At 49.6% G+C, this 19,041-nt stretch overlaps 1 protein-coding gene across 6 annotated transcripts in view, besides 1 other annotated feature; it reads left to right on the top strand.

Annotated features, from left to right (window-relative positions):
* PPP2R2C (protein phosphatase 2 regulatory subunit Bgamma) overlaps positions 1-19,041 on the top strand; it is a 243,219-nt gene that overhangs the window by 79,197 nt on the left and 144,981 nt on the right. The window contains exon 1 of one of the 6 annotated variants that reach the window (NM_020416.4): positions 11,989-12,443. The exons of 4 other annotated variants lie outside the window; for them this stretch is intronic. In NM_020416.4, the coding sequence (NP_065149.2) occupies positions 12,374-12,443 (70 nt within the window). In that variant the 5' untranslated portion in view covers positions 11,989-12,373. Of the gene's footprint in view, positions 1-11,988; positions 12,520-19,041 lie in introns of those variants that run through there. One more of the 6 variants, NM_001363388.2, reaches the window with a different exon arrangement.
* Positions 13,680-14,510: an enhancer, noted in NCBI's record as "H3K4me1 hESC enhancer chr4:6471820-6472650 (GRCh37/hg19 assembly coordinates)". NCBI's record gives its function as "activates a minimal SCP1, AML or CMV promoter by ChIP-STARR-seq in naive H9 embryonic stem cells {active_cell/tissue: H9 hESC(naive)}" and the evidence as "EXISTENCE:reporter gene assay evidence [ECO:0000049][PMID:30033119]".

The following is a 19,041-nucleotide window of genomic DNA, read 5'->3' as shown; positions in this document are numbered from 1 at the left end:
GACTCAATATTGTTAAGATGGCAGTTCCCCCCAAATTGATCTGAAATTCAACACAGTGTAAACAATATCTGAACAGGTTTTTTTTTTTTAAGAAACTGAAAAACTCATTCTAAAATTCATATAGAAATACAAAGGACCTAGGATAGCCAAAACAACTTTGAAATAGAAGAACGAAGTTGGAGGACTAACACGATCTGATTTCAAGATTTATTATAAAGCTTCAGTAATTTATACAAGTGATACTGGTGTCAAGATAGATTAACAGATCAAGGGAATGCAATACAGAGTCCAGAAATAGATGCATGCATATATGGCAGCTGACATAGCTGATTTTGAATAGAGACTCAAATGCACTTTAGTGGAGAATATTTAGATAATGGGTGCTAAAACAATTGTATATGTGTAGAAAATGAACTTCAATCCATATTTTGTACCATATACAAATATTCAAAATGGATCATAGATCTCAATATAAACCCTAAATCTATAAAACTTCTAGAAGAGGAGGTGAAGAATTTTTTCTTAAAGGACCAGATAGTAAGTATTTTAGGCTTGTAGGCCATATGGACTCTGTTGTAATGATAGAACTCTGCTATTGTAGTATGAAAGAAGCCATAGAAAATACATGAATAGATATGGCTGTATTTTAGTAAAACTTTGTATATAAAAATACGCAGCTGGTCTGCAAGCTGTAGTTTACCAATCCCTGTTGTTGAAGAAAACAGAGTAAAAACCTTTGTGACCTTCAGTTAGTCAAAAATATCTTAGATATGACACTGAAAGCAGGTTGCATAAAATTAAAAATTAATAAATTTGGCCTCATCAAAATTAAAAACATCTCCTTTTTGAAAGACACTTAAGAGAATGAAAAGACAAGCCCTAGACTGACAGAAATTCTCTGTAAAGCACGTGTCTGATAAATGGCTTGTATCTAGAATATATAAAGGATTCTCAAAACTCAATAGTAAGAAGGCAAACAACCCAATTAATAAGTGGACAAAATGTCTGAACAGACATTTCACCAAAATGATATACAGATGGCAAATAAGCACACGAAAAGATGAGCAACATCATTAGTCACGGGGGTAATGCAAACTGAAACTACAATGAGATACTACTATTACATAACTGTTAGAATGGCTATCATTAAAAAGGCTGACTATACCAAATTTTGGTGAGGATATGGAGAAACTGGAACTCTTATATACTGCTGATGGGAACGTAAAATGATATAACCACTTTGGAAACTTTGGAATATGATCTCTATAATAACACAAACTATTCTATAAAAACATAAAAAGTGGAAGTTCTTCAATTTATGATGTTAGTACAAACTTGCTAGAAAATTGCAAGAAAAGAAAATTATTAATCAATATGACTTCTAAACATAGGTGCAAAACTCAAAGATATTAGCAAAACAAATATGGCTCTATCTATCGTCTATCTATCAATCAATCAATCTATCTATCTATCTATCTATCTATCTATCCATTTATCTATCAGTCATCTAATTACCATGTGAAGTTCACCCTAGGAATGTCAGGATAGTTAAAGACAAAAAATGTTAACTTAATTTACTTCTTTAATAGATTAAAGGCTAAAGTCATATTCTTATTAATAGATACCACAAAACAAAGCAAGCAGCCAAACAAAAAGCATCCACATTAGACAAATTTTAATACTTATTCTAAGGAAACGCTCTCAGAAAACCAGGAAAGGAATTTACTCAACCCGAGAAAGGGCATCTATCAAAACCTGATAGCAAACATCATTTTTCATGATGAAACTTTGAAATCATTGCTAGAACTAAGACAAAGAAACCTACCACCACTGCTGTTCAATACTGCCTTGCATTGGAACTAACGACTAGACAGCAAGTGGGTTAAGGACAGCAAGGAAAAGCCAAAATTGTGTTTAATTGCAGATGACATAATTGTCTACGTAGAAAATCCAAGAGAATCTGCTCTCAAACTATTAGAAGCATGTGACAGTTCAACAAAATTGCTGGACACAGGACAACATAGTGAAATCAATAGCCTTCCTACTGAACAACAGTACCAATTAGAACATGTAAGAAGGGGCAAATCCTATTTACAGTAGCAGTAAAATCTATAAGACGCTTAAGAGAAAATCTAACAAAAGATGTACCAGCCCTTTCGGAGGTAGTATAGGAGAGTGGTTCAGTGGTTCACAGCAGAGGATCCTAATCCAGATTGTCTGGCTTCAGGTCATGGCCCTACTGCTTCCTGGCTTGGGAAAATTACTTGATCACTTGGTGCCTCAGTTTCCTCATTTGTACAAGGGAGATAATAATAATATTCACCTCACAGGGAAGCTGGGAAGATTAATTGAGTTTACAAATATAAGGTGTTTAGAACAGTAGCTGGCACATATTAACTTCTATATAAATGGTTGTTATTGTTATGAAGAAAATTATAAAATTTAATTGAAGGACATGAAAGAAGAGCTGAATAAATACAGAGATAGACCATATCCATTGATGGGATGATTCAATATCAGAAAGGTGTCTATTTTTTCCTGGTTAATTATAAGCTAATTGAAGTTTCAGTGAAAATCCCAACAGGATTTCCTTTTTACTTTTTTTTTTTTTTTTTTTTTTTTTTGAGACGGAGTCTCGCTCTGTCACCCAGGCTGGAGTGCAGTGGTGCGATCTCGGCTCACTGCAGCCTCTGCCTCCCGGCTTCAAGCTATTCTTCTGCCTCAGCCTCCGGAATAGCTGGGACTACAGGCACGTGCCACCATGCCTGGCTGATTTTTGTATTTTTAGTAGAGATGGGGTCTCATCATGTTGACCAGGCTTGTCTCGAACTCCTGACCTCAGGTGATCCACATGCCTCAGCCTCCCAAAGTGTTGGGATTACAGGCGTGAGTTACCATGCCGGGCCCCAACAGGATTTTCAATGGGATCTACAAAACTGAAAATTTGCATAGGAAAAACAAAAGTCCAAGAATAACCAAGACAATTTTGATGAAAGGCAAAGACTGTGCCATTTGACCTACTTGATATTGACTTGTTATAAAGCTGTCTCTCTACGGCAGGGTAGTACTGCCACATGGGCCAGACAGAAAGACCAATGGAACAGAATAGAGAATCCAGAAATAAAGGCACATGTATATGGGAACTTCGTATAGAAAAGAAGTGGCATTTTAAATCAGTGGGAAAAGGATGGACTATTCAATGAATGATTTGGATATTATTTTCTTCATATGGAAAAAGTATGTAATTTGATCACTGCCTCACCCCAAACAGAAAAGCATACTGTAAATGAGGTAAGTATACGTCCTAAAACATAAAGGAAGGACATTCTGTTTACTACCTTTATAACTCAGCGGGTAGACAAGTATTGGTAAAACAGAACACAAAAGGCAAAATGCCTGAAAGATAAATATTGATACATTTCCTACATCAAAATGAATGACTTCTGTAGGACAAGAATACCATAAACAAAGTTAAGACAAAAACAGCAAATTAGAAGAGAATGTTTGCAACATAGAAACAGACAGAGGATAGGTTTGCAACACATATAAACAGCAGAGGATACAATTATATCAAAAGCTCTGGGAAGCCAATAAGGAGAAAGTCACACAATCCAATGGAGACATGGGCAATGGGAAAAGACAGGCGATTCATCGAAGAGGAAATTCAAATGGCCAAGTGGAAAGATTCCCAAACACTAGGAATCAGGAAATGCAAAGTAAGCAATCATCACATACCCGTTCACCCATCAACTTCACATGAATTTAAGTCTATTCCAAGTGTCACTTGAGAATGTGATACACTGCTGTAGGAGTGTAAATTGCTTCTCTATTTGGCAATGAGTAGGAAGTTAAATATGTATATATTCCAGTATGCATGACCCAGAAGGAATGTCACCAGTATGACTCAGTGGTCTCGCCCTCCACCTGTCCATCCTAGGAAACCTTTACACTGCAGGCTATGAGGAACTAAGTAAAAGGATGTACCTGCAGTGTTGTTTGAAATCCAAAAAGGTTAGAAACAACCTAAATATTATGTGGGTGGGTGGACAGCAGGTAGAAGAAATAATACATTAATGGTATGCTCGTAAATATTTAACAACCTGCTATCCAGGAAAAAAAGCCTTAATTTGGAGAATTTGCCAATTTCTGGGATGTAAATACTCTGCCATGGCTGATGTCTAGCTACCATCGTGACATCATCAAACACAGAGTTGGGAAAAGATATGCATGATCAGCTCTTGCGAGAAGGTTCTTGGGGCAAGCTCCGGCACACCATTGATTGTTTTCTGCCAGCTTGCAAGATCAATGAAGAAACTAGGGTAGAGCTGAAAACATAATGCTTAGGAAAAAAAGCAGTTTGTAGTATGGTGTGATCAATATGATCAGGTTTATATAAATTTCTAAATTACATAAAATGGTACAATGCATGTATGTATGTTAAGGAATAGAACATAAATAGGAAGAAAGCACTACTTTGGGGATAGTGTTTGCCTCTGGAAAGAGAAAGGAAAGATGAGGACTAGGAAGGGATGTAAAGGAACTTCAGCCATATCTCTGTGGTCTCATTTTTCAAATGAAAAGAACCGAAGCAAAGCTGGGCACTTTGGCTTGTGTGTGTAGTCCCAGCTACTTCAGTGGCTAAGGTGAGAGGATTGCTTGAGTCCAGGAATTAGAGACGGGCCTGGGCAACATAGTGAGACCCTGTGTCTACAAAAAATAAAATAAAAGTAAAAAAGAAAGCTGAAGCGAATATGTCAATGCTAATATTGATTCCTTTTGAATCAATATTCAAAAGGTAGGGGATTGTAATAATACATTTTAGTCCATTTAAAATATGTCACTAAAACAAATAAAATACAAAAAAAAAAAGGTCTGATCATGATTATGTAAAAACAAAACTCTACGTTGAAAAGGTCCTGGGATAACACACTCTAAAAGGTTTCTGGCAATTACATTTGGACTCAGGACCATAACTTTTATATTTTCCTTTACTTCCAAATTTTCTGTCACAAGCAAGTGTTACTCGTGCAGGGGCAGAAATTCACTAACCTTGAGGGTGTTGGGCTGGATTATGGCTCTGGGCCCTTCCACACAGACTTCGTCTTCATTTGCTGGGTCTTGGCATATTTCAGAATTCCAAGACATTTTCTCTCCGTCCAGAGGCATGGCGACCTGGGTTGTGGGTGGGGTGGGTGGGCTTTCGTCTTATCATTTCACTGGAGGAAAGATCCATTGCGGCACTATTTGCCCAGCCTCTATGAGGTTCAAAGTGGTCGAACAAGCCAAGAGAGCCACCTGGAAGCTTGGTCCTGGGACCTGGGGGTCATGGAGGGGAATGCTGGCAGAGAAGCAGCTAGGTTAGGACAGCTAGCTGCTGTATTATACCAGCTGGTATATGGGCTGACTATACCAGCCCTGGAATCACAGACCTGGGTACATCTCTGGATTGCCACTTAGGAGCTGAGTAACTTGGGAGAAAGGTGCGGTTTGTTCATTTGTAAAGTGGGTCCTGTGGTTGGCTGTGTTATAGTGCAACGTATTAGCAGCCCCATCCTGGAGGGAGACTGTACTTGCACGCTCCGCTGAGGTCACGTGGCCATGTGACCCTCAGTGCCCTCCCTGCCCTTACTGAACTTGCATGTGGTGGTTTTGTGAATTGTTTGGGCCAGCGACGCTGTAGAGTGAGCTCACCACCCCTGTCTCTCTCTGTTACCTCTGCACAAAGCCAGCCATGTGCAGCTCCATCAGCCGGGGTCCCGGGAAGAAGATAACAGGGGTCAGAGCTGTAGCCCACTCGAGATGCACACGCAGCAGGAGTGCGAAATAGCCTTGAAGCCGCTGCGTTTTGGAGGGTCATTCACGGCTGTGGTCTTCTAGTTCATTCCGGCTGAGGCAGGGCTGTCATGTGTTGAGGACAGAATGAAGTCACCTATGTGAAGTGCTCAGCCACCAGCTGGCAAAGGGGGAGGTAGCAGGCAGGTAGGTGAGGATGTGCTGCTGTCACCAACAACCCACAACTCTCAGTGACAAAACATATCACATGCGTGTTTCTCACTCACTCAGCACATCGAACAGGGCCCTGTTATTTGTACTCAATTAAGGACTCGGGCTGATGGACAATCTCTCTTGAGGAGTGCTTTTCCAAGATCCTGAGTCAGTGAAAAAAAGAATTTGTCAAACCCTACAGAGGCCACTGAAGCTGCACTCAGAAGAGACGCTAGTCACTCACCTCACCTTGTACTCTGCAAAGCAAGTCTCATGACTACACCTAATATTAAAAGGGATGGGAAAGTGCGAATCTACCCCAGGCACAGAAGGAGGCGAGAAGCAGGATGTGTGTGGTCAGCACTAATGACCTCCCCTGTGGCCATTCAATAAATGCTAGCCGCTGCTAGAGTCACCATTAATCATAGCATTTAGGCTAATTCCAAATGGAGAAAAGGTGAGACGTAGGGATGGCACTGTCGGCGGGAGCATGAGTGTGTGCAGATGTAGAGTTTGGGAAGGGCAGCTGTCCAGGGAAGAAGCAACGGGGCACACAGGGAGTTGGCTGGAGACGCAGTTGGGGCCAGACTGTGAAGACCTTTGAGCTGAGATGTTGTCATATGGAGCTGGGAGCCTGGAAACATCTGAACCAGGAAGGGGAACACGGACCACATGAGGGAGGGGTGAGGCTCTGAATTCTGGCAGAGTGAGGAGGCTGGCTCAAGGAGGGGAAGGGCTGGAGAGCTCTGTGTGAGTGCATGTCGACAGGGCTGGAAGGAGGACAGGCTGTGGGGGGTGAAGGCGTGGGAGTCGGGATGACTCCAGTGCATCCTAAGTGCAGACAAAGAGGAGGTCCAGTTCCAGTTTTTTTTTTTTTTTTTTTTTTTGAGACGGAGTCTCGCTCTGTCGCCCAGGCTGGAGTGGAGTACAGTGCCGCGATCTTGGCTCACTGCAAGCTCCGCCTCCCGGGTTCACACCCTTCTCCTGCCTCAGCCTCCTGAGTAGTTGGGACAACAGGCGCCCACCACCATGCCCGGCTAATTTTTTGTATTTTTAGTAGAGATGGGGTTTCACCGTGTTAGCCAGGATGGTCTTGATCTCCTGACCTTGTGATCCACCCGCCTCAGCCTCCCAAAGTGCTGGGATTACAGGCGTGAGGCACCGTGCCCAGCCTCCAGTTTTAAGAGAGGATGCTGGGTTTGGCGTTAGAGGTGATGAATGGCTAGAATCAAAATGACAATACCTCATTTAAGAAGGTTGTGGATCAACAGGGACAATCTTCTGTTACCTCTTTGGTAAACTGGTTGACGTCCATGACTAAAGCTAAACAAACAGACCCTATCACTCAGCAATTCCTAGAATTTCTTTTGAAGAGAATCTTGCTGTGTGGCCCAGGCTGGAGTGCAGTGTGGCACCATCCTGGCTCACTGCAACCCCTGTCTCCAAGGCTCAAGTGATCCTCAGCATCCCGAGTAGCTCGGACCACAAGCATGCACCACCATGCCTGGCTAATTTTTGCATTTTTTTAGTAGAGACGGGGTCTCCCATGTTGCCTCGGCTGGTCTTGAACTCCTGGGCTCAAGCAATCTGCCTGCCTCAGCCTCCCAGAGTGCTGGTGATATGAACTGCTGCACCCAGCCAGTTCCCAGAATTGTGTACACATGAATGCTGAGCCACAGAATTGTTGTTCATAATTAGCCTCCACACTGAACAAACAACCTATGTGCCCAACAACAGTGGGGTCAGCTGCAGTGTATTTCTGCCATAGAATATTACACAACAATGAAAAATGAATAAATTACAGTTACATATATATAAATAACATGAGTGCTTCTCAGAAAAAAAACATTGTGCAAATGAAAGCAGTTATGAAAACATTCCTACCTTACAATTTACTAGTAAACTAGTAAAACTACAGTGTTAAAAGTCAAGATGGGGGTTATCTTTGGGGTGGTGTCTTAGTCAGTTTGGACTGCTAGAACAAAAATACTGTAGCCTGGACGGCATAAACCACAATCTATTTTTCACAGTAATGGAGGCTGGGAAGTCCAAGGTCAAAGTGCCGGCAGATCCTGTGTCTGATGAGGGCTTCCTGATTTGTGGATAGCCAACTTCTTGTTGTGTCCTCATATGACAGAGAGAGAGGGAGAGGGACAGAGAGGGGAAGCAAACTCTCTCACGTCTCTTCTTATAAGGCGGCTAATCCCATTATGAGGGCCCCACCCTTGGGACCTAATCACCTCTCAAAGACCCCACCTCCTAAAACCATCACATTAGGGGACAGGATTTCAATATATGAATTTTGGGAGTCAACAGCTGTTCAGTCCATGGAAGTGGAGAGAGAGGGGAGTGAGGGAGGCCTCGAGAGGTGGCTAGCGCCCTTTCCTGACTTGGTGGTTAGATGAGTGTTTACTTTGTGGTCGTTCTTCAAGCTGAACAGTTAACTTTTGTGCAGTCGGCTTGGGCTGCCATAATAAACAAGATAGGATAAGTGGCGTAAACAACAGAAATGTACTTCCTCCCAGTTCTGGAGGCTGGAAAGTCCAACATCAAGGTTCTGGCCAATCTGGTTCATGGTGAGGCCCCTTCCTGGTTTGCAGGCGGCCACTGTCTCGCCGTGTGCTCCCGTGAGCACCTGGGGAGAGAGTGGGCAAGCTCTTTGGTCTCTTCCTATAGGGGCACTAATCTCTCCATGAAGACCCCACCCTCATGGCCTTGTCTAACCCAAATCTCCCAAAGGCCCCACCTGCAAACATCATCACATTGGGGGTTAGGGCTTCAGCCTGTGCACTTGAGGGGACATGGTGCGGTGCACAGCACACTTTCCATGCATGTTCTCTCTGTCAATTACAACAAGTTGGGGGCACAGAAGCACAGGGAGACATAGCCTGGTGGGGCCGTCAGAAGGAGTGGAGCATGTAAACCTGCTGAGAAGTGGCAGCGAAAGGTGGTGCCACTGAAGTAAAGGGAGGCGCATGGTCCACAGGGTGAGACCACGAGAACTCAGCATAGAGAGAGGCCAGCATGCGTCCACTGGTTCCAGGAACAGGAAAGTCATTCTCATGCCGTCTGACACAAGTTTCTTTTCTGGGGTGGGATGGATGGCAAGAAGCCAGGTTGGAGGGCACGGCAGTGAGTGAGGAGATGGCGAGTGTAGCTGTACCCTTTTGGCATTGTGGTTGTGAATGGCAGAAATGCAATGTGCTGGTGGCTGAAGGGACACGGAGTGAGGATAGCTTTTGAATGTGGAAGAGACCCAAGCAGGCTTACGCTGTGAGAAGCATCTGGAGAGATGCTGACAAATTTCACCTTATTGAGCTTTCCTCTACACTCACCTTTATAAAATGGCACCTCCTCCTCCCCGTTCCTTTCTATCTCCATCTCCATCCCCGCCTTCATCTCCATCTCCATCCCCATCTCCATCCCCGTTCATCTCCATCTCCATTCCCGCCTTCTCCTCTGCACCAGTCATGGCCCACACAGTACATGCTCACTTTATGCTGTCCATCTCACCCCACTGGGAGGCCAGCTCCACGAGAGCAGAGCATTTCTCTATTCTGTCTTCCACACTACCCTAGTGCTGGGAACATGCCTACACATAGTAGATGCTCAATAAACATTCCTCATTGAATGAATGAAAGTACAGAGAGGAGTCTGTACAGAGAGGCTGGGGGTGGCAGGATCTGGAGCTCAGGCTCTGTCAGCGGGGGCAGGGCTGTGTGCAGATACAGATGAGGAAGCAGCAGATTGTGTGATTTAGTGGAGGTGGGGGGTGGGCAGGGGGCTGAGGGAGAGTCCTCGGTTGTGCTGGAGGGGGAGGGCTTCCAGGAAATGGAGGAGACAGTGTGGAGGAGCCCAGACACTGCTTGTGGTGGGGGTGGGGCAGGATGGGGTGGTGAGGGGTGAGGAGGGGATGGATGCAAGCCTTGGGGCCCAGTCAGGTTGGAAAGACCACCCACTGCAGGGTCCCCAGCATGGCTCAGAAGCTGATGAAAGGGATGATGTACTGTGTCAGGCCAGAGTGGGGCTGTTTTCATTGTAGTCCAGGACATCCCGGGAGATGAGGCTGATGCCAGCATAGGGTGGGTGTTTTGGCAGGATTGACAGATAGGGAGAGGGGACTTCTCCATGATCAGAGAGGGAGGCTGAGGAACATGCGGGAGGGTGGGCCTCAGCATGATAACAAGAGAGCTCCCAGGAGGCCTGACCCCTGCTGAGCAGGACTGGCCACCCCAACCCAGTGGGGCCACTCCTGCCATCACATCCACTTTACAGATGAGGTTGTGCCTGGGCCCCCTTGTGGTCAGGACTTGAACCCAGCCTGTCTTTCTCCCAGCATAGCCATTTTGCTGGCTCCAGCTAGAGAGGTGAGGGGGTGTGGACAGAGAGTGGGGGGCTGGCCTTAGGATGTGAGGTGGGGGGCATGTGAGCAGACAGGTGAGAGAGAGAGAGGAGAACATGCCAGGTGGGTGGGGGCCAATGTGGGTGTCGGTCACTTTCCTACGGGGTAGAAAGTGACAAAGAACAAGCACATCCTTCCGGCCCTTGCATTTACCTGGTCCTTGAATGGAGTCTGCACAGCTGGGAGATTTTGGCTTGTTCCACAGTGAAAAGGTAGAGGCTGGAACAGGGCAGGGCACTTGCCAAAGCAGGTGCTGGCAGGGCCCCAGGGCCTCTCCCCAGGCCAGCCCTTGCATGACAGCCTGCAGAGTGCTGGTGGGGCTGCTGGGGGGCTTTCATCTCCTCATAGGTCCATTCTGGGGATTTCAAAGGCACGAAAGCTGTAGCTTCAAAAACTCCCTCTCAATCTCCAAGAAATCTGAGACGGCATCACCTTCCCTCGTCTTTCCCACAGCCCCAGTCTCCCTGCCCCCAACGCCTTTGGACTCTCCTACCTCCACTGCAGTTTGGGGAGCTGTCTGGAGTTCCCCCAGAACCATTTGAAACAAGTGGAGGCCATTACAGACCAGCCCCCACCTGGAGCATGGCTCCACTGATGCCTTAGACCCAAGAGCCCCTGCAGCTCTGGTCACCCCACTGCACTTACCCCTCCCAGGCAAGCCACAGAGTCCCTCGCTTTCCAGGAAGGCTCTGTTGAGCTCCTAGGGAGGGCTGATGGTTCCTCACCCACACCTCTGAATCCCCACTGGGGCTTGTGTCCCGTGCAGGGGACTGTGATTCATTAGGCGGTGGGTCACGGTGGAGGAGGTGGCAGCTTGGCAAAACAGGAGGCAAATATTTTTTGAGGGCCCACTATGTGCCAGGCTGATTACCAGAGGGAGGTTCCTGTTTGGCAGAGCCCTGGGTTTGGAGGGGAGGGAGGGAAGGGAGGAGGGGGACGCATTTTCCAGCCTGGTTTTGGAGGTACCTAGCTCTGTATTTCTTTAACTTTCTCACTCGTCAGGAGAGGTGGGCATGAGGAGAGATCTCAGAGCCCTGCCTGGGGGAGGCCCAATCACCCCTCCAGCCATTTCATCCAGTTTTGCCTTGTCGGCTGCTGGACCCCCTCCACCAGCTTCTTCACATGTACTTAATGCTCCCAACGGGCCCCAGAACTTGCGCGACCCACCCTCTTCTACTAATGAAGGGAGACAGTGTCCTTCCCCTCCCCCGAGTCCCCATTCTCCAGGTGCGCCCTCTTCAACTGCGACCCCACTCCTTCCTTCCTAGTCCTTTCTGCCTTCTGCCTGCGAGGCTGCTCTCCTCCTGCCCCCTTCCCAGCACCCCGGCTCTTGGCCTTCTCTCCCATAACTGGAGCACCTGGGCACCCAAGGTACCCTCCCCCCAAGCTCAGCTGATCACCCTCTCCCCGCAAGCTGGCGGTCTCCTTCCTCCCTCCCCCGTGGCGCACCCAGCACCAAGGTGCCCACCGCGAGGGCCCGAGCACGGCGGTGCAGCCTCGGCTTGGGCGCCGGCTCCACCTGCAGGGCCGCGGGGGCGGAGAGCGGGCGGCGCGAGGGAGGGGCCTGCGACAGCGGCGGCGGCGGCGGCCCCAGCCCGCGCAGCCCGGCTCGGCCCCGGCTTGGTCGGCGCAGCGCAGCGCCGCGCGCGTCCCCTCGCCGCCGTCGCCGCAGCCAGGCGCACCGGCACCAGGCCCCGCCGCCGGGCGCACGGACGCAGCGCGCACGGGCCGGCCGGGATGCGCGCCTGGGCCCCGGCCCGCCCGAACCCGCGGCCGCCGCCCGCCCACCGCGCGCTCGCTTGACCGCGGCGCCCGCCCCCGGCCGCCCCCGCCCGTCCCCCTGCCGCGATGCCCTCCCTTCGGGGCCCCGGCGGCCCGCGCCCCTGCTAGGCTGCGGCGGCATGGCCCGCGCGCCCGGCGCGACCTCTGCGGATTGCATCGGTGTGTGGCGGCGGGGCATGCCCAGAGCACCGGGCACGGCCTTCAATGGGCGAGGACACGGACACGCGGAAAATTAACCACAGCTTCCTGCGGGACCACAGCTATGTGACTGAAGGTAACGTACGTGTTGTCTGAGACCCCTCCGGCCGGCCGCGGCGTGGGGATGCCGTCGCACCGAATGCCCTCCGAAGGTTTGGACCGCGCGATGTGTGTCGTGTCCCCCCGCCCCACCCCACCCCACCCCATCCCACCCCACCCCACCCCATCCCATCCCACCCTGCCCGGGGCCCAGGAGGGAGGGAGCCCGAGGGTACCGGCCTCCGCTGCCCAGCGCCGGCACAGGGCAGCGCCCTCCTCCGCGCCGCCCTCCGGGAGGCAGCTTTCCTCTCCCAAGCCAGGTGGCATCCTGATTCGGCCCTGACCATAATTTTTTAAAAGGCCACGGCTGTGGCTAATCTGGTGAAGAAATCTCGGGGAAATTTAATGGTTTAAATCCTGGATTTGCCATTTCAGCCCTGCCCAAAGCCCGCAGAATTTTCTAGGCTGCCCTCTCCCTGGAGAAGAAGAGGGACCCGGGGGGAAAAAAACATAATCCATTGCCAGATCCTCCTGGGAGGCCCGCCTGCCCGGGCCCCTCCCTGTCCTCCAGAGGCAGGGTCCCTGAGTGGGAGGGAGAAGGCGGCTGGTTTGGGGCTGGCCTTTTTATTCCTGGTGAGTTATATTGAGACAGGAGCAGCTGGGCTAACTGTCGGGATTTTCCAAAAAAGTGGGACATGCCATCCCAAACAGGCCCTGTTTAAAATCCCCTAAGTTGGCCCTACAAGCCCAACCCCCACCCCCACCCTACCCCCGAGGCTGGTGGGTCAGCGCCCCTCTCTTACAGGCCTGGAACTTCCGGGGGCCCCCTGGTCTGCCTCGCTAGGGGAACAGTGGGGACAGCTTCCGTGCGCAGGCAGGGCCCGCGGAGTGACCCCGATGGAGGATGGGGACCGGGAGGTCTGGGCTCGGGGCCGCCTGTGCTGGAGCCCTGCCCGAGTGCGGGGACTGTCAGCCGCTAACCCACGGGCTGGCGGCCCGGCCGCAGAAGTGTGCGCGGATTCCCCGGGTGGGTGCCCCAGTGGGAGGGGCCCTGGGCACGGGTCCCGCGGGGCAGGTGCGCGTGGGTGCCTGTGTCAGGGAGACCGAGTGGGCCAGGCGGCGGAGACCGGGCTCCTGCGGCTGGGTCCGCCTCCTCGAAGCCTGGCTCTGCCGGAAATGAGGCCGAGCGGAGCCGGAGCCCCGCGGAGGCCCGGGGAGCGCAGCGCGAGCGCGGGCGCGGGCGGGCTCGGGGCGCCCTGGCCCGGGAGGCAGAGGCTGGGCGTGGGACCTGGGCGGAGGGAGGCTGCGGGGGCCGCGCCCGCTCCCGGCGGGAGAACCGCTGAGTCACGCACGCTTCGCCGCCGGGTGTGTGCGAGAGAGGGGCAGGGCTGCCCGGGCCTCCGGGCCGGTGGGGCTCTGACCCGGCCGCGGCTTTGGGAGGCCCGGGGAGCTGAGAGCGGTCCTTTGTCGCCTGCTTCGGCGAGGCTGAGTCGGGATCAGCGTGGGTCCGGGATGTGGTTTCTGCTCGCAGCCTGCAGCGACAGAGGGTTGGAGGAAGCCGCCGGGTTGCTGGCCCGTGCCTCGGTGGCCTGGCTCGGGCCGAGAGCGGATCTTGGCAGGTTGCCCCGCTGCTCCCAGGCTCGCTGTGGTCTGGCTTCCTGGAGCAAGCCTCTGTTTGCTCATCTCTACGTTGGGGATGACGGTGGGATGGGGCGCAGGGCTCGTTGTGGGACCAGGCGTAAAAAGCGCCATGGTGGACATTTTCAAACATTAATTCCCTCTGCACCCTGCCCGTCCCCTTTTCTTTCATAAATTCACCAGCCCTCAGCAGGGCACAGGAACGGGGACGGCACAGTTCTGGAGGTCAGAGCAGTGCTATCCAATCCTTCATCCAGACACGAGATATTTACCGAGCACCTGCTGCATGCCGGGCACTGTTTTATCCCTGGGGACTGGACAAAGACTCCCTGCCCTTGTGCGGCCTGAATTCTATCAGGGAGCTATATGACCTTGAGGTCTGTCTTCTCACCAGGGCTCAGTCTCCCCATCTGTAAAATGGGAGTGAATCCTGCCTACAGGGTCTGGAGGTTTCTGTGAGGAGCAGGTGCAACGGTGTTGAAGGAGCCGTTCAGAGCTATGCATTGCTAACGTGCAGCCAAAGGATGCTGAGCACCTGCTGTGTGCTGGGACCTCATACGAAGGCTCACCTACGCCTTATCCCCACCTTGAGATGAACAAACCAAGGCCTGGCCTTGTGCCTGGTCCAGACCGAGTGCCAGTGTGTGCAGGGCATAGGGCTCAGGTGCTGCGGATGCAGAGAGCAGGATCGGAACAAGAAACAATAATAATCATTATAATAGGTAGAATTCTGGCCTCCCTAATGAAAAACACACTTTCACACTGTTGCATCCTGACTATATTTCATGCTCAGAGCACAGGGAAGGTCACAGATTTGAATGTCAGAATGTCAGACTTGAATCATGTTAAAGTCCTGCCTCTGACTCCTGACTGCTGTGCAGCCTTGGACAAGTTACTACACCTTCCTGAGCTTCACTTTCCCTTTGTAAAGGGAGAAATAATAACGACCTTTCATACAGGGTTGCTGGGATGATCAGTGATTTTGCTAATATCAAAAGTGCCCAGCACAGTGCTTGGGTTGTTGGAGGCATTGAACACATGGCATTGTTATTATTTATATGCCTTGTAACTGGAAGAGCCTGTGGGCAAACAGTGGATGCTAAAATTCAGTTTGCGGAAGAACCAGGTGCACAAACTCCTGTTCTACCTGTGGTTGAGTCTACACTCCCCCACCACACCCCAGCTGCTCTGATCTACCTCCTGTTCCTTGAGCAGGCCATTTTCTTTCTTGCTTCAGGGCGTTTGCAATGGCTGTTGCCTGGAATACCCACCTCCTGCCTTTCTCACCACTGACTCTTTCTCATCCTTTGGGCCCCATGTCCAATGTCATCTTTGCCCGTGGGAGCCCTGCTTGGGTTCCTGAGTCTCTTGTAAAATCTCAAACATCTTAGGAAGAGTTTAGGTTTTGTTAGTCATTCACATCTTGGTGTGAATTCGTCAGAGCAGGTTGGATTTTTTTTTTTTTTTTTTTTTTTTTTTTTGGTGGCAGGGCTGGGTGGCTTACTCTTGGCTGGGCTCAACTGCATTGAGGGTTATGGTGATGATTAGGTGTACCTGCAGGCCACCTGGGGGCACAGAGAACTTTGCATGAATGGGGTCAGGGTGTGGGGAGAGCAGTGCAGCTGATAGGGCACTGGGCCCTGGGCCCTGGACCCTGGAGGGTGCTAGGAAGTCTCCATCTAGTTAGACATTTCTCAAGAGCTGGATATGGTTCCAGGAAGGACTCTTCCTGGCTCTGTTCTTTCTCTTTTTGCGGCAGGCCTCAGTACTTAGCTTTAGAGTGAGTTGAATAAGCACTTCCAGACTAGACTGAACTTACAAAACCCATCCATCCTTCCTTTGCTTAGCACCATTTGCCAAGCACATCCTGCCCTGGGCAGCAGTGATGACCAAGACACAGGAGCTCAGCCAAGGGGAGGTGGTTCAGGCTGACCAGGTAGATCCTGGCAGTGACTGGGTCTTTCTGGGGAGCAACAGTCACTCTCATGTGCCTGACAGGTAAGGCACTTCCGGAGCACACTTTTCAGCTGAGGCCAGAGGCACAGCTTCCCCTTGTTTGAGCATCTCAGCCATCACACACTGTTGGACACTCATGCTTTTTGCATCTGCATAAAGGATGTACCCATGTTTTCCTAACTCCCATCCCTGGATGTCCTGTGTGATTTCAGAGTAGTCTGTTTATTCCCACAGAGTTGTCCTGATTTTATAGTTGAGGAAGTGAAGGATGCTTGGGAATTGCTAAGGTCATCATGGGGTCCTGAGGCTGTCTGAACGCAGCAGGCAGGCAGGTTTTCCTGCATGGAATTGTCTGCAGGTTTTGAACTGGTTGTGCCCTGGATACCATCTACTTTCTGCCCAGGAAACCACACTGAAGAGGGGATGCTGCTTGTGGGAGACTCAGCATTCAGTGAAATCTGCACCCTTATGGTGGACGTTGCAGCTGATCTCCACAACAGTTAGTCTCTCTTCTTCCAAGGAGAACACATATGGTTCCTAGTAAGAGATCTCAGGCCATAGCTGGATGTGATCAGTGCAAGGATGATCTCATTCCCCTTGCAGTGACTGGTTCCAGAATGGATGTGGGAGTCAGTTCTGGAGGTTGAGTGGAAAGTAGGGAGAACCACAGGTAGTTGGTCCCTCTCTTGTGATGGGAACAGGGAAACCTTGTGGTGGCTGGCAGCCATCTGACACCATGAGGGGAGCAAGTCTTAGGCCACCACCGTTGATGGCAGGGCAGAGAGTGAGTGAGATCCAGGACATAGAGGCCTGATGTCCAGGCCGCCTCTGAACTTCCAGTTACATGAGCTGTTACTTTTCCTTTTCGTTGTGCACTTTCAAGTCTCCGTTACTTGCAGCCCATAGCACCCCAACTCGTACAGCCCTGACTGCTTATCAAGAAAACCAGGAGGCTGATCTGTAACCCACAGCTAAGACTCGAGATACATAAAACCCAGAGGGATTTTTGTTTGCTTTCTGTTTTGAGAACCCTCTTTCATTTCACTCAAGTCAAGGTTGCCAATTTCTGGTTTTCCCTCCTCAGTCCTATTGAGGAGGTATTTTTGGTCAGATAAGAGAGCCTGAGATCTGGCATCGGGAGATCTGGGTTCCTGGTGGGGTCTGACCCTGGGTCTGTAATATTGGGCAGGTCACACGGTCTCTCTGAGCCTCAGTTTATTCTTAATAGATCAGTAAGTGATGATGTCTATTCTTTAGGGGCCAGAGTTAGACTAGCCCTTAGAACTGTCATCAGACTGGCTAGCCTAACTTCCACCCCAACCTATGGGGAAACTGAGGCTAAGAGGGGGGACATTAGTGGTGGCACAGAGGGAGATTAGGGAGAGTCAGCCTTTGACTTTTGAAAATCAAGATGTGGACTGTTCAGATTCTGTGTTCCTTTCGCTTCTGTTTGGAAACGCCACTTACATAAGCTTCCCTTGGGCTTCACAGCGAGTGTGGGCTCCATTTCAGTGCTGGGGTGCCCTCCATCAAATCACATCACTTTCTGAGCCTCAGTTTCCCTGCACTGCCTGGTGCCCTGGGTTGTCATGAGGCTGTAAGGAGCCAAGGGCATGTGGACTCTGAAGTTCTACACGTGTAAAAGGCGACTGCTGTCAATTTCCCCAAATTGTAGTGTAGGCCAACTCCCACGCCCCTGCTGTAAGCAATGTGCTCCTTTCTTTTTAATCAACCCGAACTTAAAGCTTGGCGCAGTCACAGAGCACGGTTTTTCTCATTTTCTTTCTGGAAGATGAAAATCAAATTCTAATAAAATTTTTCCACTCCATCTCCTGACTGTTGTCATTTGCTACACTTTTTAGTGTTTATCCTTAAAGCTTGCAGAGCTAAGGGATGTTTGGTAAGAAGTGTTTAGGCCTTGAGACTGGAAGAGCCGCTGTATGAAGCGCTAGGCTCCATGGAGAGTGTGATGGGGAGTAAGAGAAGGAGAGTGAACTCCTGTGAGTCCACCAAGCAGAGGGACATACTCTCAGCAACTGGGGTATTTCCTTCCAGTCTTTTTTTAATGCCCATGTCTGTTTTTAATGAAAACTGTAATCTGTCTGTATCAACAATTTTGAAGGCTACTTTTCTAGTTTGGCATGAGATTATAGGAATTTTCCAGGGCTTTGCTCCAGGGCTGGCTTCATGGATATGCAACCTGTGTGGTCATCTAGGTCCCCACACTCAGAAGGACCTGTGCTTGGGTTCATGTTCTGCTGTTACTATCTTGAAATTTTTAAGAATTTCACTTTGGATCCTGTGTTTTGTAAGCGAAATCTGATGGGACGGGGGAGCCTGGGAATGAGCAGAGGGGTACGTGTGGCAGGCGAGTCTGTGGTTACACATATTGGCTCCCACAGCACGCTACCCTGTGTTCACTTGAGCGTCTGAGCCCCATGCACAGTGGACAGCTCATGCACCTTCTCAGTGCGTCTGTAGTTTCACAGGCAGGGGCCATGCTTTCAAATAATGCTCCAAGGCATTGATGTTCTCATGCAGTGACTTCTAAGAAACATGAATGACGCAGGAACCCTATGGTGTCCTTTCTTAACGTGTGTTACGTGCCCATATTTGCCAATCGCTGACACTGAAAATGATTACACAGAAGGGAAGGGAAAAAGAGGGCACCTATAGTTCCTTTTCCTCCTAGTCCTTCCTTGTTTATTATTGAACCAAGGGTAGAGGGTGTTGGAAGAATGTACACATATCCAGAAATGAAATAAGAACAGTTAAGTTAGTTTCCTCTGCTCTGGTAAGAACAAAATCCATATGCGAAATATAACTTGTGCATTTTGGTGAGTCTACATTCCAGTTACGTGCTCTTATGTTTGCATTTAAAATTGGAGGTGCACACTAGAATGGTGAGTGATAAAATGCACGCTAAGAGTTTAAGCTTTTTTTTTTTTAAATTTGAATTGACATTAAATAGCAAATAACACCATGACAAAATATGGAAGGCATGAAAAGGTTTTGTATCTTAGCACCTTTAATGATGCTTT

This window comes from Homo sapiens, chromosome 4 (assembly GCF_000001405.40).
Source record: "Homo sapiens chromosome 4, GRCh38.p14 Primary Assembly".
Taxonomy (NCBI): Eukaryota; Metazoa; Chordata; class Mammalia; order Primates; family Hominidae; genus Homo; species Homo sapiens.
Note: the sequence above shows the minus strand (reverse complement) of the source record. Positions and strands in the feature narration are given on the sequence as shown.